This window comes from Homo sapiens, chromosome 7 (assembly GCF_000001405.40).
Source record: "Homo sapiens chromosome 7, GRCh38.p14 Primary Assembly".
Taxonomy (NCBI): Eukaryota; Metazoa; Chordata; class Mammalia; order Primates; family Hominidae; genus Homo; species Homo sapiens.
The window spans coordinates 116,620,334-116,641,609 of NC_000007.14; the positions used below are offsets into that span (position 1 = coordinate 116,620,334).

Here is a 21,276-nt window from a genome sequence, read left to right on the forward strand (position 1 = left end):
CTATTGCCTCTGAGCTCCAAACCTACCCTTCATTGCCTGCTGATGATCCTGGAGCTGGATCTTATAAATATTTCTCCTCTGCCAGCCAGCCCAAAGTGAAGCTTTGTCAGTGAAGATAAGTGGAGACTGAAGAAGGAAGGGGCTTCTCTTCTTGGTTCCAGTTTTCTTTTCTCTCTTCTTGCTCCTGTGGTGCTTGTCCAGTATAAAGGACACACAGTGGTGCTCAGCAGCCTCCCCATGGACAGCTTCCCAGACAGTGCCACTGGTGCCACAGCCAGCTTCCCAGCCAGAAGGGCTGGAAAGTGGCTTCCTGGCATGTTCAGCAGCAACCCTACAGGTAGCCTCCCAACAAATTTCACCAGAACCCAGAGGCCAGCTTGATGGCAGGTGCGGTCAGCATCCTAGCAGGTGATTTCCTGCTTGCCAGCCTCAGGCTGCAACACCTCAGCAAACCTCTTCACCAACCAGTGGATACAGAAACATCCTCCCTATCAAGATCTGAATCTCAGCCTTGTAGGTAGGAGCTTTTCCAAATGTGTTCCTTCCTTGACTGTTCTGCCTCATTCTCAGGGGCAATGGCTCCTTCTCATGTCTTCTATGCCTTTATTTTTTTTAGCTCTCTTTACCTCTTAGTACTTAATCCTGTGCTACTGATTAATATGATTGTATTATTAAACTTTCCCTGTTTAATCACTGTGTGGCTTCCGTCTCCTGACTAGGCCCTGACTGAAACCCTTCCCCTTTTGAATTTCACCTCCTGAGCATCTCTCCTGTCCACCAACTTTGCCCCAGTCCCAGAGCTCCTGCCTGAGTTTAGACTCTTGTCATTCTTAGTTTGACTTTTGGTATAAGCCTCCTAACCAATTGCCTATCTCCAGTTCAGATGTTTTCTAGTACTTCCTCCTCAACACACCACATAAATGATTCTATAATGTGCAATGGGTGTGAATTTTGATCTACTAACTTGAGGATGGATGAAAAGTCAAATCATTTTTTTCTAAAGCCTAGTTAAATCTAACTCTGAGCAGAAATTTTTATTCTTGGTTATTATTGAGTTTCTTCTAGTCTCCCCAACTCTCTTTCTCCAGGATTATATGACAGTCCCAAAAGGTTTATGTCAATTAAAACCCTATATCTTGAAGGTTGGTGGCCCAGTGAGTTCTCCCTAAGCATAGGGATCTTTGCTGAGACTGGTAGACCCAGAAGCATGAGCTCAGCCTAAATGGTGCCAGCTTCCTGGGGCACTGCAATAGTCCCCCTTATCCATGGTTTTGTTTTTTGCAGTTTCAGTTACCTGCAGTCAAGTGCAGTCTGAAAATATTACGTGACTACTCTTGCCCTTTGAGGGCATCATTAAGTAAAATAAGGTTGACTTGAATGCAGGTACTGTGATACCATGACAGTGAATCTACACCCAAGATGGCTACTAAGTGACTAATGGCAATCCGTGCAGGACAGACCAGGGTGGAGCAAGATTTCATCATTGGTACTCAGAATGGTGTGCAATTTAAAACTTAACAGTTGTTTATTTCTGAAAATTTCCATTTATGTCACAATGCCTACGTCATTCAGCTCACTTCCTCTCAACATGTGAGCATTTTATCACCTCGCACAGTCACGAGAAGAAAAATGGTTAAGTATAGTATAACAAGATATTTTGAGACAGAAAGAGAGAGAGGCCACATGCACACAATTTTTATTACAGTATATCATTATAATTCTTCTATTTTATTAGTTACTGTTGTTCATCTCTTACTGTACCTAATTTATAAATTAAACTTTATCGTAGGTAGGTATGTATAGAAAAAAAAAACATAGTGTAGACAGGTGGCACTATCCACGGTTTCAGACACCCACTAGGGGCCTTGGAACTTATCCCCCACAGATAAAGGGGGGACTACTGTATAAGGGAATGGAGTGAGGTCTGCATTCATCCTAAAGACTTCTACTCCCTTTGCTAGGTTGGAAAATCTCTTGCTTCTCTTCTCTCCCCTTCCCTTAACAATATAAGGGCTCCCTCAGAAAAGATTTGTTTCTTCTGGCAACTCAGCTTTTAAATGTTAAGACCCCAAACTCCCTTAGGCAAAGAAACACAAAATCCTGACCACCTTCTAGAAACGGAGAAAGGGAGAAAATGCATAGAGCACAAAACAGAAATTCTTAACTCATACAGGGTCAGAATCTCGTTAGTCTGAAAGAAATCTTAAATCCCTTCTTTTACTTTTCCACCAGTTTTGGTGGAAAAACTCTCCATAAAGTGTTTAGGTTTCAGAGACACAATCTCTCTGGTTTTGGTGACCCTGTTTCTTGCTGCAACTCTAAGCCAATGAACACAGAGCCAGGGGTCTGAATTTGGCAGCATAAGGCAGGCAAGCGGTAGAGAAAGAGAATTGCAAGAAGAAAGAAAGAAACAACGTCAGCTAATATCTCAGACTATCAGGTTGGTGCAAAAGTAATTGCAGTTTTGCCATTGAAAGTAATTGCAAAAACCACAATTACTTTTGCACCAATGTGATATTATCCAGCCAGATGTTCAATATACTATCTCTCCACAAATGCAAATTCAATTTTTCACTCCCCTGCTTCTCACCTTTGATTCTTTCTCAGTTTTCCCTAGAGCAAAGTGTAATCTCCTTGCATCCAAGCAAAGTCCTTCACAACGTGGGTCCCGATGAGTTCTCCAGATTCACTCCCTCCACAGTCTTTGTTATAGGCACACTGGAGTTCTTGCCACTTTCTTCTCTCTTGCCTTGTACTTTTTGCTGTCTCATCTAGAAATACCTAGATGTGTCTTTCAAAACTCAGTTCAAGTGACAGCTCCACCAGGAAACCTTCAAGCATGCTCCCCAGTGAAGGAGTGCATATCCCATGCCTGCCGCAGCTGCAGTGCCTGCATTGTGTTTTATTATAATTTGGGTTTTATGTTCCTGTTCATCTTTCTTTTCCATTTTCCCTTCTATATTATGAGTTACTTGAAGGACAGGGAAGGTATTTCTCATCTCTACATCCCAGAGCTAAGAACTGCAGATTGTTCTTGAGTATTTCCATGTTCATTTAAACCATTTTACTAATTCCTTTAAGTGGCTACAAATAAATCTGACAGCAAGAGTACCTAGAAAGATACATTGTTACCTGAGATGCCAGAAAGGAGTTGCCAGTCTTTCATCTTTCTAAGATCATAGTAAACTCATCTTTAATTTCTGCTACAAAGAAGGACCATTTAATTACTTCATCTTTTAAATGCTACTTATAACATCTGCTGGGATGTACTTTTTGGAATTTTCTAAATATGGAAAATCATAGAATTTCTCACTCTCTACATTTTTGGAAATCAAGTGCGTGTTTTGGAATATGATACCTTAAAAGGACACAGCTCTCTGATGACCAATAAGTGATGTTGCTGATGATTGACATTTTTAGGCTTCCAGAATTTGAATTATTGGTTTTCAGAAGAAGAGCTATTATTTTTCCCTTAAAATTTAGATGTTAATATTTTTACGTTGTTTGTGGTTTTTTTTTTTTGGCAGCCTCAAGAAATGCCATCTGGACCAACAAAATGAGGTGTGTTCTTAAGGGCCAAAAAATAGCTAACAATTCATAAGATGTTAGTGTAGAAAATGTAAGTTACTTACAAAGAAAAAATAACAACTACAGCTATTTGTTAACTTCGTATGTGCCAAGAATATGGTAAATGATTCAATCCTCAGTTATCCAAAAGTGAGGTTATCCAAGTGCATTTCATTTTGCATTCAGACAAATTTGTTTTCGTTATTATTATGTAAACTGCTTTGCCATTTTTGCAAAACAACTGTCCCACTGGTTCAAAACTTGACTCTGCTACTTTTTAGCTGTGCAATCATAGCAAATCACTGAAACACTCAGTTTTCTCATCTGTAAAATGGAGATAATAATAGTACCTACATAAGATGATTGTGGTGACAAGTTAATAAATAATTTCACTCAAAAAATATTTATTGATTGCCTCTGCGTACCAGGCACAGTTCTAAGTACTTGGGATACAACAGTGAATAAAACAGGCAAAAAGCACTATCCTCATATGCCTTATATTGTAGTAAAATGCTTAGAACAGCATCTTGCACATGGAGCATGTAAGAAGTAATTACCACTATTAGTAGTAGTATCAATACTGTGCCCAGAAAATATGTGCTGACTGGTAAGTATGCATATACCTTAAACAATTGCCCAGGAAATCCAGTCACTTCTTTGTAGCCTGCCACACCCATGGCTGCTGGATGAGAGGTTTGCAGACCACCGAAAGGCCAAGTCAAGTCCTGGGGTGAGGGGAGGGGCAAAGCGGTGCCAGGGAGGATTTCATTCACCTCAACATGCCAATATTGGCACTAGCAATTGAGTATCAGGGAATGCTTTCTTCCCTTTCACAAAAACCTAAGAAAGAAAGGATGGAAACATAAAAAATTCAGCTCAGGACACAGAGACTGAAGCAATCCTGAGAAATTCTGCTTGTGCCGACAGCACTCCCAGGGATGTTCTAAAGACAGTGCAAAATGTGGTACATGAACCTGAAAGGCAGTGTTGGGGAGGGGTGTGGAGGCTTTGGGACTAAACAGATTTGCCCTAATCCTCCGTTTCCTCCGGAGTTTGATACCAATGTGAAGACCCTTAAGTGCTTTTTCACAGGAGATGACTGATCACAGTAGCCTGCAGTTTGCTTACTACTCTCCAAGCTTTCTGGTGATTTTGCCAGTATTTTCCTATTCCCTTCACAGCTTTTTATCCATATCTTCCTTCTCCCCAGTGTTTGCTTTACTGACTCTCCCCTACACCCTTAATTATTTCTTAATAGATCACTCTTTTAGAGAATCTTGAAGTGATTTAGTAAAATTCCCCTAAACCAGTTTGAAGAAAGGCACAATAAGAAAAGCATAAGCCGTGGTGGTCTTTTCAGATTGAACTTCACCGCATCAGCAAGGCTTAGACATTATTTGATGAACTTTCATCCCCACCCTTCACACTATCATGGAGGAACCTCAATGCTCTCAAAGTCCTTATCACATGAAGTAAGATGGATGAGGCTGCTAGCCATGCACGGTGCCTACAGACAATTCATCCAGTCCTTGGCTGACCCTTTAAAGAAGTGAGAGTCCCCCAAATAAGGCTAAGTGTCCCTCAAAAGTGCGATTCAACAGACTCCCCAGTGATTCCAGAGGTCTGCATGTCCTTGTGCCTTATATTCCTGCAAACCTTAGTCCCACTTCAAGATGTAAGCCCTTCTAGTCATCTGCCACCCCAGCACACTTACCCCAAAATATTCTTTGCTGCTTCTCCACTGACCCAACTTTCCACTGCTCTTCTCCCTCCCATGCTTTCAATGGGTGGCCCCTTGGGACACCTCTCAATGGTTAACAAACTTTACCAACCTCCTCACTAAACACTCCTTCTTACTCCTAACCTGCCCAAAAAACCATCTTTCTAGCCAGCTGCAGTGGTGCACACAAGTAGTCTCAGCTACTTGGGAGACTGAAACAGGAGGACTCCTTGAGCCCAAAAGTTCAAGGCTACAGTGAGCTATGATCACACCACTGTACTCCATCCTGGGCAACAGAGTGAGACTCTGTCTCTAAAAAAAAAAGAAAAATGAAAAAAAGAGCAGAGCTTTCTCCATACACCCTCTCAACCTGAGCTGGGAGGTGCTGTCAGTGTCCTTGGGAACCTCCTCTGCTCTTATGACACCGGTGGCGTTTTGCTACCTCTTCTGGTTCCTATCATCTACCAACCTCCCATTACTTCTCCCTTTTCACCAAACTCTTGGGCAGTCTATCTCCATCCACATGCAGAAACACAACCTTAGGAAAATTCAGTGCCCATAAGAGCAAGCCACCCAACATGTGGATCCAGTCATCAGCCACTCACATCCTTTTTTCAATTACAAATTTGGTCATAGGATAACCCGCACCTCCCCAATCATAGCACTTATCACACGGTTGGTTCTCTCCCCAGTTAGAGTGTAAACTCCATGAAAACAGGGATTTTTGTCTGACTTATTTACTGCTGTAGTCTTAACCATTACCACAGCGTCTGACACAGAGCAAACTAAGTATTTGCTAAATGAATAAATGGTGTCCTGTGCTTGCCTCAATGAACAAAATGACTTCCCAAAGGAAAACACGGTTTGAGAAATATATGAAATCCACAGGCCTTGAGCTAATTTGCATTCAGTAATGTGGCAGGGATGGGTGCGAAGCCACCCATGTATTATTTGTTCTTGTAACAGTTTATGAGTTGCCAAAAAGATCAGAAGAGCACTTGTTCACTGAACAGGATCATCGCTGGGCTAACGAAAATCTTATCTCAAAGGGAATTTCCAATGGCACTTTCCTGATGATGTTTATGGCCATTCATTCTTTTTTATTTTCATGTAAATTACTCTGATTGTGGGCTTTTCTTGTGGACCTAGACAAAACTGATCCTGTTGGATATATTTTTGTTGAGGACTACGCTGGACTTTTTCTTGAGGACTACCTGGCTGGGTATTCCCTGGACTCAAACACAGCCATACCACATTTGGAAGACAAAGTAAGAGAAGCAAGTATTTACCAAAATAGATGAATTTAGCAAATATTCTTTGGGTTTGATCTGCTAGGGCATTTGATAGTGAGACAGCCAAGTGTAAAGGGGTTCCTGGAAAAACTCCAACCGGTCTGTGCACTGGGAGGAGTGCCTACTGCGGTGGAGCCACAGAAGCATGAGCTGTTTGCAGCCGGGAGGAGCGTGTCCCCTCCTCTTCCTGGGTGGAGCCTCAGATTCGATCTCCGAGGCGGGAAGCATATACTAGCAGGACTCTCGCTCTGCTGAGGGTCCCTGTTTCCTCTTTTTTTTTCCTTTTCCCCCAATAAATTCCATTTTTCTCACCCTTCAAAGTGTCTGTGAGCCTAATATTTCATGGCCATGTGACAAGGACCCCATCTTTAGCTCAACTAAGGACAAAGTCCTACAACAATACCATAAGGATAATGATGAGATCATCAAACCCTTTATACTCCTTGGAAGTAACTTTGTATTTGACCTTGTAACTTCGTTAATGAAATAGTGTTATTAATCAGGATACATTTTTTAAATTGTGATATAATTTGTGATTTTTTAAAACATTGTAACTACAGTCCAGACGTTGATGAAAGGGCAAGGGAACTCATGGTTTACAGAAGTTAACTGAGATTCTGGCTTTTAGGGATTCCAGTCCTGACTTCACAATAGTTGGCCAATATTTAAGAAAAGTTTCTCTCATGTAGAATAAGCATGCCCCTCCTTCTGGGCCTTTCTGTGCAGCTTTCAGGAACACCACAGAGATGCCTTAAAATTAATACTGCATAAATACACAGTAACCCATGCAGCGTAAATGCACAGTATCACAGCAGCTGAACTTTGGGACCAAAAATAGGTATTCTAATCAAGTAGCTTTTTGAAAATAACCTATTTTTGTTATAGAATAGACCCAGTCAAGAATATCTCCACAAAGGACTTACAATACAGTGATCAGTACAATTCTCTCTTTTGTGCTTAGGGTGATATTAGTGACTTCTCTAGTCAGGTGTTCTAAGAAATATAGCATTTTCTCAACCATAGGCATTTAGTCTTATAACCAGGCTTTTGAATTTCAATGTAAAAATAGTACCACAAATTTCTATAAAACTACCTAGGGATTTTAATCAAAATAAAGTCAAGCAATAACAGCTACCATTTAATGAGCATTTATTATGTGTCATGCTCTGTGCTCAGTTCCTTTCATGCATAATCTTCCTCTAATGTAGAAGGCTTCAGAATTCCATGAAAAATGACAGGCATCTAAAAGGGAAAACTTGATTACAAAATATAGGCATTGCACTGACTCTGAAAAGCAGTGGGCATATGGGAGGAATTATTAAGGTAATAAGCTTTAGAGACACAATCATAAAAATGTAAATGTACCAGTTAAGTCAATTTTTCCCCTTGGATCAAAACTGTAGTCTCTGTAGGTTGGGAGCACAGAACCTTGAGGAGCTCTTGGGAAATGTCAGAGCAGGCTTAACAACTTTATCCACTGACACGCCTCTAACGGAGATTCTCTGCAGTATTGGAAGCATCCCCAACCTGCATTAGAGCACTAGCCAAATCTGGAGTGACTGACATGGTATTATAGCATTATTGTTATAATCAAACAGATGTTCAGAAAGTAAAATGATAAAAAGCAAAAATGAAATATAAATCACAAACGGTTTATAAGTATCCCAGCAGGAAAAAAAAATCAAACTTTTACAAGTATTTACTAAGTAAAAATCTCAAAAACTTAAAGATGAAGTAATTCCATTATTATTTATGCACCAAACCAGTGCCACCAACCCATACAATATTAACCATGAAACAATTATAATGATACCTAAAAGGGATAAACAAAAAAATTTACTTCATCAAGTAAAGACCAATTATTATCACAATTAAATACTAACCTATATATTAAATGGATCAATGTATGATGTGAAAAGTGAAAACAAAACACATTTCACCATTTGGAGTAATGAAAGGAAATATGAGTTATTTCTAAAAAATCAAAGTAAGTACATCTAGTATTATGATTGCTAACTGAAGTCAAAAATATTAATAGTGATTAGGAAAAAATCACAGCCCACCAAAGAGATCACCTAAGTTTTAGATTTAGATGATAATAAATGTAAGAGTTTAATTAGTTGTGAATTAGTTCAGGTGCCCTTTAAGCTATTTGTACTTAAGTGACGTGAATCATGCCTGACTTGGCTGGCTGCATTTGTTTCTAACTATGATTTAGCCTGGGCACACATTAACTTCCTTAGCATAGTGTGAGCACCGGCCCAGTGAATGTCTGTCTGTACAATCCTGGTTAGGTTTTTTAGAAGAAAGTTGTTTAAAGAAAGGTAAAAAAGCATAGAGACTTTTGAAACCTGTTTTGTTTTCATGTTTCTCTAAAATTTCTCTGGGAACAAAGGCTGTTTCTTGCCAATTATTGGAAGAGAAGGGAAGTATCCTCTGTTCACCTTACCGAGTTTGCCTCTTCAGGGCATGTTTTTGCACAGAGAAATCTCTTACTGTAGCCTCATGCCTTAGGAGAGAGGTCAACAGACTTTTTCTTTAAAGGGCCAGATGGTTAATATTTTAGACTTTGTGGACCAAGAAGCAAAATCAAGGATAGTACATAGACACTTACATAAAAAGAAAGAAAATATATTTTCACAACATTTTTATTGGTAAAATTCAAAATATAGTGATTATAACAATTCGGTACAATTCTTTTGGAATACAGGTCTACTAATGAAAAGAATGAAATTCACTTAATCAGGAGTTTAAAGTTACAGTTCTAACTGGGCCCAGTGGTTCACGCCTGTAGCCCCAGCACTTTGCAGGGCCAAGCTGGGTGGATGGCTTGAGCCCAGGAGTTTGAGACCAGCCTGAGAAACATGACAAAACCTTATCTCTATAAAAAATAGAAAAATTAGCTGGGTGTGGGAGCACACACCTACAGTCCCAGCTATTCTGGAGGCTGAGTTGGGAGGATCACCTGAGCACCAAGAGGTCAAGGCTACAGTGAGCCATGATCACACCATGGCAACAGCCTGGGTGACAGAGTGAAACCCTGTCTCAAAAAAAAAAAAAGTTAGAGTTCCCTATCATCAAATAAATTGCAAATATTTATTTGTAAAAATTATTCTTAGCTCATGGGCCATACAAAATAAGATGGCCAGATTTGACCTGAAGATCATAGTTTGATAACTAAGAGACTTCATAACCGTGCCATGAAAGGGTTAAAAGGCAGACGAAAGCAAAGACCAGCAACAGTAGAAACTGTAACTTACATTTTTTTCTGAAATATATTTATGTGCTTCTTTATTGCACACTTCATTTTACTTGACCTTCTCTTTGATTGGCCAAAGGTATCCATTTGCCTTGGGAGTAGATTAGAATTCTTAAGCAGAAATGAAAAGGGGGAGAAACAATCAATGTTTAGTGACTGACTACTAAAATAAAAATGTTCAGTTCCTAGTAAGACCAGAGTACTGAAGTCAAGCATAGCTGAGAGAGTTAAACTTTTTAAAAAATTATTTAAATTTCTCTCTATATCTAAAGAGCCAGATTTGACTGGCTGCTACCTTCGGTTTCACTCATATGAAGAGACAGGTTTCACTGACTGCTACCTTCAGTTTCACTTAGCCAAAGTGAATTCAAACTGTCTCCACAGGAGAGAAGAAACACTGTGTGTCATTGGGCATTATGTAAGTCACCTAAACCTCGGACTCTTTATCTGTAAAATGGGAATAATGATTCCTACTTCCTATGGTTATGTGATTAAAAGACCTAATGAATATAGAGCACTTTCCACAGTATATGCCAACAGTACTCAGTAAACCTTAGTGCTCTGACTGTAGTAGATAAACAGATCAAACAGTTCATCTTTATGTATGATGTAAAGAATATCCATTACATCTGAGGTAATCCACAAAATGAGTTTTTCCTTAAAGGCGTCTACTGTCTAATCATTCAGGGTCCATTTTCCATGCATTGCTTATGCAAAGCTTATTATCCTCTTCCTTCACAAGGTCCTCTTTTACCTGACTCCATGCTCACTGCCTCACCGTTACCACCTCTCCTAGACCTGAGCTTGCTCTGCCACAAAGCAGGTAGTGTCCACTCCGCCCACTTCTCTATACTCTTGGACTCAGCACTACCGCTTCTATGGGCTCTTCCAAGGTTCAGAAGCCAGGACGCCAGTGAGTCAGTTGCCAAGTCAGAGCCACAGGCTCAGCTGCTGTGACGCGCCCCTCCCCTTGCGTCATTAAACAGTCAGAAGACTACAGCACGTGTCCTTAGGGAAAAGAAGGCTCTCTTGAACCGGTGCAAGCCTCTCCCTTTTCCACCAGTCATTTCAGAGTCTCAAGCTTAAAAGTGTATTCTCCAGCAAAGAAAAGCTGTCCCATACTTAGAGCTCTCCTCCCAGTGAAGATCCAAAACAGACTATGAGCTTATTAATGGTCATTCTCATAGAATTGTAACATTCTAGAGCTGAACAAGGTTTAAAGGTAGTCTAATACAGCCCTTTCATTTTGTAAAAGAAGAAACCGGGGCCCAGAGAAGCTTTGGCTTGTCTGAGGTCACAGAGCCAGATGAGACCTGATTCTTAGTCCTGTATCTTTCCATTAGATCCTACTATTTTCTGTTTGATCTGGTGGTAAAAAGACAGGGTTGGATTACATCATGCATGCCCTTTAAATAATACAATCCAAGTAACTGCCATATTATAGGGACTATTGACAAAAGAAGGGAACACCCTCCTCCACTGAGATCTGCATATATTGCAATAAGCAAATGTCTTACATTTAACTTGATTATCTGAAAATTGAATTTACATAACTAGGAACACATGTGATATTATGATGGGACTAATGCACACCAAAAAGGATGACTTTTATCTACAAAATATACTCTTAGTATCCTGACTAGGGACAATGAAAAATTCAAGATGTTCAATTCTCACCCATCTGCGGTGTGTGTGTGTGTGTGTGTGTGTGTGTATATATATATGTGTGTGTGTGTGTGTGTGTGTGTGTGTGTGTATTTATCCTGACAGTATATGACAGATCAAAATTTTCAATTGGTGAAGTTTCCTATAAACAAGGAAAGACCTGGCCCTGTTATGAGTTTGCCCTTCAAGCTGGAACTCCAGCTGGGACTAAATCCAGTGCTGTGGGGCTCAGCAGTCGATGTTGTTGAGACTGAACACAGATTATAAGGACATTGCATTTATCTAGACTTTGGTTAAATATAAGGGTTACAATAAAAAGAAAGAATATATCATGTCAAATTTGGCCAAATCCATGTAAACTCTAACCTACTTAGCCTACTCAGCATACACATTCTGAACTGTAAACTATAAACATTAGTTGACTGATTAGTCCTCAATTTCACCATGGATTAAATAACAGAACACAGAGTTACTGTGAGACTTGTGGTAGAAAATCTTTAATTCATTCCCCACATATGTGCTAACATTTGATACAGCTTAGAATTTAAAAAAACATAAAAGAAGGCTATAAAGTAAAAGTTACAAAAAAGGGGGAGGAAAAGGAAAAGGAGACAGATGATTTTATCAGAAACTTGGAATGAGGCACTTGTCACAACTAAACACTGAATTTACCCTGGGCTTCCTGACCACAAATAGTAGTGATGAAACTAAGCTCCTCATTTTTATATATTTATAACCACATAGACAGCACTTTGTTTATCTCATTTAATCCCCCTGGTTTCACATATTTTGAAACCAAGGGAATCACATATGTAAAGAATTTTCTGAGTTGCATGGTTATAAGCCAAAACTGCCTAAACTAATGTAATGAAATTACATTATGGACTAATTGAAGGTCTACGATTACTTATCCAAAACTACTGGGAACAGAATTCAGAATTATTCAGGATTTTAAAATGTAATCAATTATATAGAACCTATGTTAAGTATCATATGTTACATATCATATTCAGATAATCTAGGGTAGTACCCTATAATCAGACAGATTACTATTTCTAAAATGAAATCTATAAGGGGTTACACTGGCTGGTGTAGGTGAAGTCTATAAATATCTTCACATAAGTTCACACTAGATTTGATTTTGCACCACTGGAATTTGTCACAAATTTATGAAAAAGTTTAATTTTCAGAGCTTTTTGGATGTAGGAATGGTAGATAAAGAGATTATGCTTATGTGCTCACACACATACAAACACTTGCACATACACAACAAATAACTATACATAAGCGGTGCAAGCTTGGCAGTTTTTCTTAATATCTGTTTGACCTGCAACAAATCATATGAATCTGGGCCATTTTCACACACATTAAAAATAGGAGTAAATGTGGAATTAACCAAAGATAAACTGTGACTAAATGTTGCAAACACTCTTCGAAGCACTCTCCATGAATGAGCATAGCCGGGAGGTTAGCAGACCTGAACGCCTTCACAGCTCTGCTGTTGACATTCCATGTGACCCCAGAAAAGTCACTTGGTTTCCCTGGTCCTCAGATTTCTCTCCTGTAAAATGAGGCCGTTGGAAGTGATGGTCTCTAAGGCCCTTTTCAGTTCCACAAGCTGTGCTTATAAAGTTTTTCATTTTATTCATGTCTATAGGTTTAATTTTTAAAAACAATACCCAATAATAAGGTTTCAAATTATCTCTTGGTCTAATGTGCCTGTTTTTACACAGTGTCAATCATCCTTGAGTCACTGAATCACAAGAGTTTTAGGCCAGTCATTTCCTTCACCGTTTCTAAATACTGTACCCTGTTTTACACACAAGCAACGTGAACAACGAAGCGTGATGGTAAAAACAGGACGCTCCGGCTCCCTTCAGCTGGACTTTGCAAACCTCTTTGTGTTATTTTACACGCCTTGATGTCCTAAAAATAAGAACAGAAAGTGCCGCAAGATTATTTCTCAACTCTGGAAATATTTGTGAGTAATTTTGCCAAACTTTATTAGTCAGAAATGCTAATTGAAAACTCCAGATGGCAGCATCACAGTCACCTTGCTTTGCTAATTTTCTTTGAAATCTTGCCCTCCTAAGAAAACACATTGAAAAGAAATCTCTTTGAAACATTATCTTCGGCATGGAAATTAGCTTCTCAAGGATTTTAAAGAGCAAACTCTTACTTGCGGCCTCTTTGTTCCATTCTTTTTTGTAAAGTCACTGTTTCAATTTATAAAAAATGAATTTTGGGATAGCCCAATGGTAGGATATAATAAGTTGAGATTTTATTTTTAAAAAAATACTTATCAGTTTTGAATCTTACTAAATTTTTGGAACTCAGGGGGCAATTACTGCATTTTCTAATGTCCTCCCAGAGCCAACTCAAGTTCAAAGTTTCCAATGACCTTGAATAGGATTTTGTGTTCATGTCAGCTGTTGGGATATGAAGAATAAAATAAGAATCTAGGTCAGTGTTGCTTATGCTGATAGCATAGCTTGTGTATTTCTCCATGATTTATATTTTTGCTAATGTATACTTTCCCCTTTAAATGCAAAATATGTCTCTAATATTGCACATGTGTATGTGCACACTCAACAACTTCCCTAACCTGTCCTCAAAACTGGTAACTTATGTCACTACAATTACTTAGTTAACTGATCAAACTGCTAAACAGCCTAAATATCCTAATATATTTTATTTAAGAGTTTAAGACCAGGTCCTCCAAATCTCACCTTGATTTTCTACCTTCTAGTATGTATACCTCCTGCCCTTCCCTGGTTGCCTCCATGAGTTTAGAATGGAAGGTGGAAAGCAAATGTAAGGATCAGGACAGCTTATCTTTTCAGCCCTTTCATCTGTGTCCCAGGCTCCCTCCTACACTCGCACTGTGCCTTGAACAGTGGCCTGAAGTTAATATATCAGTATTTATGATGGTAGAGACACAGTTTGACATGTAATATATCCCAATACGTACTATTGTGGAAATCTACTTGTAGTTCATCTTTCCCAGCTTAGTGAAAGAACATGTGTTCTAATATATAGAAGAAAAGTTTTTATGGCTCACTTTATATTTTTGAACATTGCAACCCATTTCCTAATTCAGGAAGCTTTTCTACACTTCTTTTAAATAGCCATTGCTATTTCTACTCATTTCTCTACTTTTCTGAATGATAGTTCTACTTAATTAATGTATTTTAAAGTTTAGCAAGCAAAGTTATGTAATTTCTCTGCCTTTTTTCCCCCTAAGAGTAAGGCCTTGGAAAATACACACAAAAAAAGTTATATATTTAAGATCACTATAAAATATATGAAGAAACATTTTGATAAGTTCAGTGATTTAATTGGGGATATGAGTCCAGGCGTGATAGAGCGAGACCCTGTCTCAAGAGCACGAGAACCCACTTACTTACCACCCAAACTCACCTCACCTATCTAATTTTAGCAGTGGCTCATGCTTGTAATCCCAGCACTTTGGGAGGCCAAGATGGGTGGATCACTTGAGCACAGGGGTTCGAAACAAGCCTCGTCAACATAGCAAAACCCCGTCTCCACTAAAAATACAAAAAGTTAGTCCCGCGCGGTAGCCTAAGCTTGTAATCCCAGCTACTTGGGAGGCTGAAGCATGAGAATCGCCAGAACCTGGGAGGCAGAGGTCACAGTGAGCTGAGCTGGAGTCATTGCCCTCCAACGTGGGCAACAGAGCAAGACACTGTCTCAAATTAATTAATTAATTAAAAATTAAAAATTAATAAATTTAAACGGGGGTATGGAAAGAGAGCAACCTCTTTTCTCCCCGCTCCACTCTGGCCCTAACATACCACTCACGCAGCCCTTGCCTGGATCACCACCCTCATTGACCTTACAACACTTGCTGATTTTGCCTACTGATCCACCTGCAGGTGGGGAGTAAAGAAGAATCAGGGAAAGTCTGTTAAGGAGAGATGGAAACAGGGCTAAGTCATAAAATTAGATAGGTGAGGTGAGTTTGGGTGGTAAGTAAGTGGGTTCTCGTGCTCTTGAGACAGGGTTTTGCTCTATCGCCCAGGCTGGAGTGCAGCGGTGTAATTTTGGCTCACAGCAACCTCCACCTCCTGCGTTCAAGCAATTTTCAAGCCTCCCAAGTAGCTGGGATAACAGGCATATGCCACCATGCCTGGCTAATTCTTGTATTTTTAGTAGAGATGAGGTTTCGTCATGTTGACCAGGCTGGTCTCAATCTCCTGGCCTTAAGTGATCTGCCCACCTTGTCCTCCAAAAGTGAGGAGATTACAGGTGTTGAGCCACCACGCCCTGCCTCATGCTCTTGATACAAACTGAAAATTAGCACACGGATTTTAAAGCCAACTGAAAGATGGAGCATTTTTCAGCACCTGTACTCCCTATCCAACAATCACTTCTCCCTCCCCTCCAACTTAAACACCTACCCAATTTCTTTATATAAACCTTACTATAAAAAAGAGCCAAATAGACAACTATGGATAAGATCTAACTTTTTGTTTTTGTTAGGCTAATGTATCTGATCATGCTTAACTGAGATTGTAGATTTTTTGATGGAAGAAATTGTATATTGCTAATAATTTATAGTCTTTCTAGTGTATAATCAAATATTTAATAACAATAATAACTAATCCCTATGGTGTGCTTCTATGTGCCATGCACTTTCATGTATTTTAAATACTTTACATATATTAAATTAACTGAATAGCCACAATAGCTATATTAGCATCCCTGATTTACAGACAAGGAAACAGAGACACTAAAAGGTTAAATTAAAACAAGGTCATCCAGCTTATAAATGGCAGTCTCAAGGTCACACACATACAAGAGAAATTTTTACTAGCTTGAAAGACCTATGAAAACAGATAATTGTACAACTAAAAAAACAAGTAACAAAATATTTCATTGAATGAAAGTTGGCTTCATATTTAATTAGCCATGCCATATCTCATTAACTTCATTGAAACTTCTGGGAGGAGGGGGTTAGAGTAATCAAAAACAAAGAAACTTCAACCACATAGTAAATAAACAGTCATGGGGCCAAGAATGACCCTAATGAGTAAAGTATTTTATTATTTCCTTAATTGAGACAATATACTAGTTGAATATTCTAATGCTCTGGCAAAAGATGAATATATATATATATGTAAGGGAGTAAGCATTATATATGAAACTGAAGCTATATTATGTCCTTTAATGCTGAAAATATCTATTGGGAATGCCCATTAATTCTCAGATGCCCCTTGTCAGCAGTATATTAAAATTACAGCCCTTCCTGACTTTATATTGAGAATTTAAACTACATGTGTTATGTAGCTCTAATCTTACCAGCACCTCAGATGTTATGTTTGTAAACTTACACCTCCTGGTTCATTTTATAGGATGCAATTAAATGAATAGTTGCAAATCGCTCTGACACAGTAATGTATTTTAGCATGGTAGCTTGATTTAAGGCTACTGACACGTTTGTTCAAAAGCCTGAAGATGGAGCGTTATGCTAGACATGAAAAAAGGGGTACCATAAAATCAGATTGTAAAAAGTGCAACGGTCTATATGCCAAGCACAAATGCTTCCCCTTACTGTTATTTTGGAGAGCTAAAATGACTTGTCTAAAACCTCATGGTATTAATTCTTCCTACAAAGTCAAACAAAACACTGCTAAACCTCTTCAGTAAAATAACTGTACTCCTATTTTAAGCACAATGTTGGAATTTAAACACCTAAGTAGAAACACTAAAATGAAGATTTAATTAAGAAAACAAAAAATATTTTAGAAATACTTGAAGTTAGGAAAAATAATAATGTAAATACAGTACAGAGGAAGAAATGAATTTCACAAAATACTAAAGGACTGTTAAAGGCATTACTCCTTCTCTCTTCCCAAATTCATTTTAATAGCAAATACTTTGGAAAGATGTGGCTTCCTTATAGGTTTCTTTTCTGTAAATCACCTTGGTAATTTTTATATATTAATTGTCTATGAATCTTTAAGACTGAAATATGGCATAAAGCATTTTGTAACATGTTTGACTATAAAACCCCCTTTTCACAGAACATCTTGGGGGATTTGAGTTCCACAGAAATCATTTGGAGCTTTTTGAATCAGAAACAAGAGGTTCTTGCCACAGATATATTTATTGGCCTCTAATGAAAATGTGTCCCCAAGTTCTTTAGGCTCTCCTCTCTCATAAGATTTCCGCTTGATGCTCAGCTCCTTAAAGATAGGACAGTCTCTCTCTCTCTCTCTCTCTCTCTCTCTCTCTCTCTCTCTCTCTCTCTCTCTCTCTCTCTCCCCCCCCCCTCCCTCCCTCCCTCCCTCCCTCCGTCTCCCTCTCTCTTTCTTTTGACGGTCTCCCTCTGTTGCCGAGGCTGCACTGTACTGCCGTGATCTCGGCTCGCTGCAACCTCCCTGCCTCAGGCTCCTGTGATTCTCCTGCCTCGGCCTGCCGAGTGCCTGGGATTGCAGGCACGCGCCGCCACGCCTGACTGGTTTTTGTATTTTTGGTGGAGACCGGGTTTCGCCGTGTTGGCCGGGCTGGTCTCCAGCTCCTGACCTCGAGTGATCTGCCTGCCTCGGCCTCCCGAGGCGCTGGGATTGCAGACGGAGTCTCGCTCACTCAATGCTCAATGTTGCCCACGCTGAAGTGCAGTGGCGTGATCTCGGCTAGCTACAAACTCCACCTCCCAGCCACCTGCTTTGGCCTCCCAAAGTGCTGAGATTACAGCCTCTGCCCGGCCGCCACCCTGTCTAGGAAGTGAGGAGCATCTCTGCCCGGCCACCCATCGTCTGGGAGGTGAGGAGCCCCTCTGCCCGGCTGCCCAGTCTGGGAAGTGAGGAGCACCTCTGCCCGGCCGCCCATCGTCTGGGATGTGAGGAGCGCCTCTGCCCCGCCGCCCTTCGTCTGGGAGGTGAGGAGCGCCTCTGCCCGGCCGCCACCCTGTCTAGGAAGTGAGGAGCGCCTCTGCCCGGACGCCACCCCGTCTAGGAAGTGAGGAGCGCCTCTGCCCGGCCGCCCCGTCTGGGAAGTGAGGAGCACCTCTGCCCGGCCGCCCATCGTCTGGGATGTGAGGAGCGCCTCTGCCCGGCCGCCACCCTGTCTGGAAAGTGAGGAGCGCCTCTGCCCAGGCCCTGTCTGGGAAGTGAGGAGCGCCTCTGCCTGGCCGCTGTGCAATCTTCCAAGTGTGAAGTGACAGCTTTTCTGCAGTTGTACCCAACAGCTCCAAAGAGACAGCGACCATTGAGAATGGGCCATGATGCCGATGGCGGTTTTGTTGAAAAGAAAAGGGGGAAATGTGGGGAAAAGAAAGAGATCAGATTGTTACTGTGTCTGTGCAGAAAGAAGTAGACATAGGAGACTCCATTTTGTTCTATACTGAGAAAAATTCTTCTGCCTTGGGATGCTGTTAATCTATATAACCTTACCCCCAACCCCGTGCTCTCTGAAACATGTGCTGTGTCAACTCAGGGTTAAATGGATTAAGGGCGGTGCAAGATGTGCTTTGTTAAACAGATGCTTGAAAAAAAAAGAAAAAAAAAAAAGATAGGACAGTGTCATTCATCATTGACTCCTCAGCCTAACACATTGTATGAAGCATATTAAGAACTCAATAAATATTTGTTAAACTTCCCTATTCGAGATTTTGTTATTAAGCTTCCGTCTCGTTTTACTTTCTCCTTTTTTTCTCCCTGAATCTAGATTCACTGATTGACTATTTAAGTCTGGACCTTTCTAGTTCCTTATTTAATGTTCTCAGAGCCAAAATATGATTAGAGGCCCAAACATAACTTCCTAGTGCGCACAAGGTTTTTGATAAACAACCAGACCTTTTGACCAGGAATCAGAATTATGTATATACGAGGACCTCAGTTATACTCACCCAATCCAATTTCGTATTGGCACAGCTCAGAGAACTGGTTATCTTCCTTGAGTTTTTCTTTCTTTCTTTATTTCTTTTTCTTTCTTTCTTTTTCTTTCTTTCTTTTTTCTTTCTTTCTTTCCTTTCTTTGTTTCTTTTATATAAAATATTTCAAATATACAGAAATATAGAGGATAATTTTTAAAATGTGCTCAATTTATGGCCTAACAAAATATTAACATTGTGCCATACTTAATAAAATATTACAGATATACTCAAAGTCCTCTTTGTATCCCTCCCATTACTATTTCCTTATTCTAAAAGGTAACCACTATCCTAATGAAGTCAGTGTGAATTCACATGTTAATATCTTTACTATATATTGTGCACCCACCCACAGTTGATAAATATCCTTTTGTTGTGTTATGAATATACACAATGATAACACTTGTATATACCATTCCTGCACTTGCTAAAAGTTCACCATTATGCTTTCAAGATTTACCTGTGTAACACATGTAAATCTAATGTGTTCATTTAAACTTCTATGTAGGATTGTACACATATGAATTTTACCATGTTTTTTAACCCAGTCTCCTATTGCTGAGCATTAGACTTTGTTGTGTTATCGTTTTTAGAAATGCCCCACCTAGATCTCTTTTACCCAGACAGAGCATCCACCAGCAGTCACTCTGAGTGCTGGCTGCTGACAGCTCACAGCTGCCCCTTTATCCAGACATTGCCCTTGGCTGGCAGGAGCTTCTTTGCCCTGGACATGACACCTCTCCACCCCACATACACACCTTAGGAAACCTACAATCCATTGTGAGTGACTGACTGGTATGAGATACAAAAAGACTCCTTGCCTCAAGGAAGAAACCCTTGAATGGGATTTATATTCCAAAGTTTCTCATGGATCCATCCAAAATAAGGCTTCTTCACCTGAGACCATACTCTTGCTTGGCATTTCTCATCCAAATCCTCTTCCCTCAGCAGGATCCTTACAGGTTTCTCCAGAAAAGTGTATTGTCAGTAAGTGGTATACACCAGAATCATCTCAGACTCTGCTCCTAAGGAACTCAACCTAAGACAAGGCCACTAGTATTAACACTATTATAAAATGTTGACCGGCGCCATAGCACACATCTGTAATCCCAACACTTTGGGAGGCTAAGACAGGAGGATCACTTGAGCCCAGAAGTTTGAGACCAGCATGGGCAACATAGCAAAATCTTGTCTATACAAAAAATTTAAAAATTAGCCAAGCATTAGCCAAGCTAATGGTGGTCTCAGCTACTCAGAAGCCCAAGGCAGGAGGATGGCTTGAGCCTAGCAGGTAGATGCTGCAGTGAGCCATGATTGTGCCACTGCACTCCATTCTGGGTGACAGAGTGAAACTGTCTCAAAAATAAAATAAAATGTGCTCATCCCTAAGCAGATTTGTCAAGGGGTTGCTTGAGTATATATCCCAACTGCTACCTAGTAAAATCAGCTTAACTTCAATTCAGATAGATGTTACCAAATTGCTTTAGAGTAGTATCCATTTACACAACTATTCTCATTTCATGAGAGTTACCATTTCCCAACCATATCTCCAGCACTTGCCAGATACATTAAATTTTGGTAATTTAGTTGGGAGTGAAATGATGCATCTATCCCATCCTTTGTTCTGGGTTGTTGGCTCTTTATTTAAAATATAGCAAAATAGGCCGAGTACAGTGGCTCACACCTATAATCCCAGCACTTTGGGAGGCGGAGGCAGGATGATCACTTGAAGTCAGGAGTTCAAGACCAGCATGGCCAACATGGTGAAACCAGGTCTCTACTGAAAATACAAAAATTTAGCCAGTCATGGTGGCAGGTGCCTGTAATCCCAGCTACTAGGGAGGCTGAGAATCGCTTGAACCTGGGAGGAGGAAGT

General features: G+C 40.0%; 1 long non-coding RNA gene across 2 annotated transcripts in view, besides 3 other annotated features; it reads right to left on the reverse strand.

The window, feature by feature from the left end:
- Positions 1–21,276, reverse strand: part of COMETT (cytosolic oncogenic antisense to MET transcript) — a 124,434-nt gene that overhangs the window by 56,740 nt on the left and 46,418 nt on the right. The gene's annotated exons all lie outside the window — the stretch shown is intronic.
- Positions 10,078–10,197: an enhancer, noted in NCBI's record as "active region_26537". NCBI's record gives its function as "activates an Ori minimal core promoter by ATAC-STARR-seq in GM12878 lymphoblastoid cells {active_cell/tissue: GM12878}" and the evidence as "EXISTENCE:reporter gene assay evidence [ECO:0000049][PMID:35858748]".
- Positions 11,828–12,028: a silencer, noted in NCBI's record as "peak6696 fragment used in MPRA reporter construct". NCBI's record gives its function as "represses an SCP1 promoter by STARR-seq MPRAs in K562 erythroleukemia cells {active_cell/tissue: K562}" and the evidence as "EXISTENCE:reporter gene assay evidence [ECO:0000049][PMID:32103011]".
- Positions 13,106–14,305: an enhancer, noted in NCBI's record as "P300/CBP strongly-dependent group 1 enhancer chr7:116273493-116274692 (GRCh37/hg19 assembly coordinates)". NCBI's record gives its function as "activates an origin of replication core promoter dependent on BRD2, BRD4, P300/CBP, MED14 and CDK7 cofactors, with strong dependence on P300/CBP, by STARR-seq in HCT116 cells {active_cell/tissue: HCT116}" and the evidence as "EXISTENCE:reporter gene assay evidence [ECO:0000049][PMID:35650434]".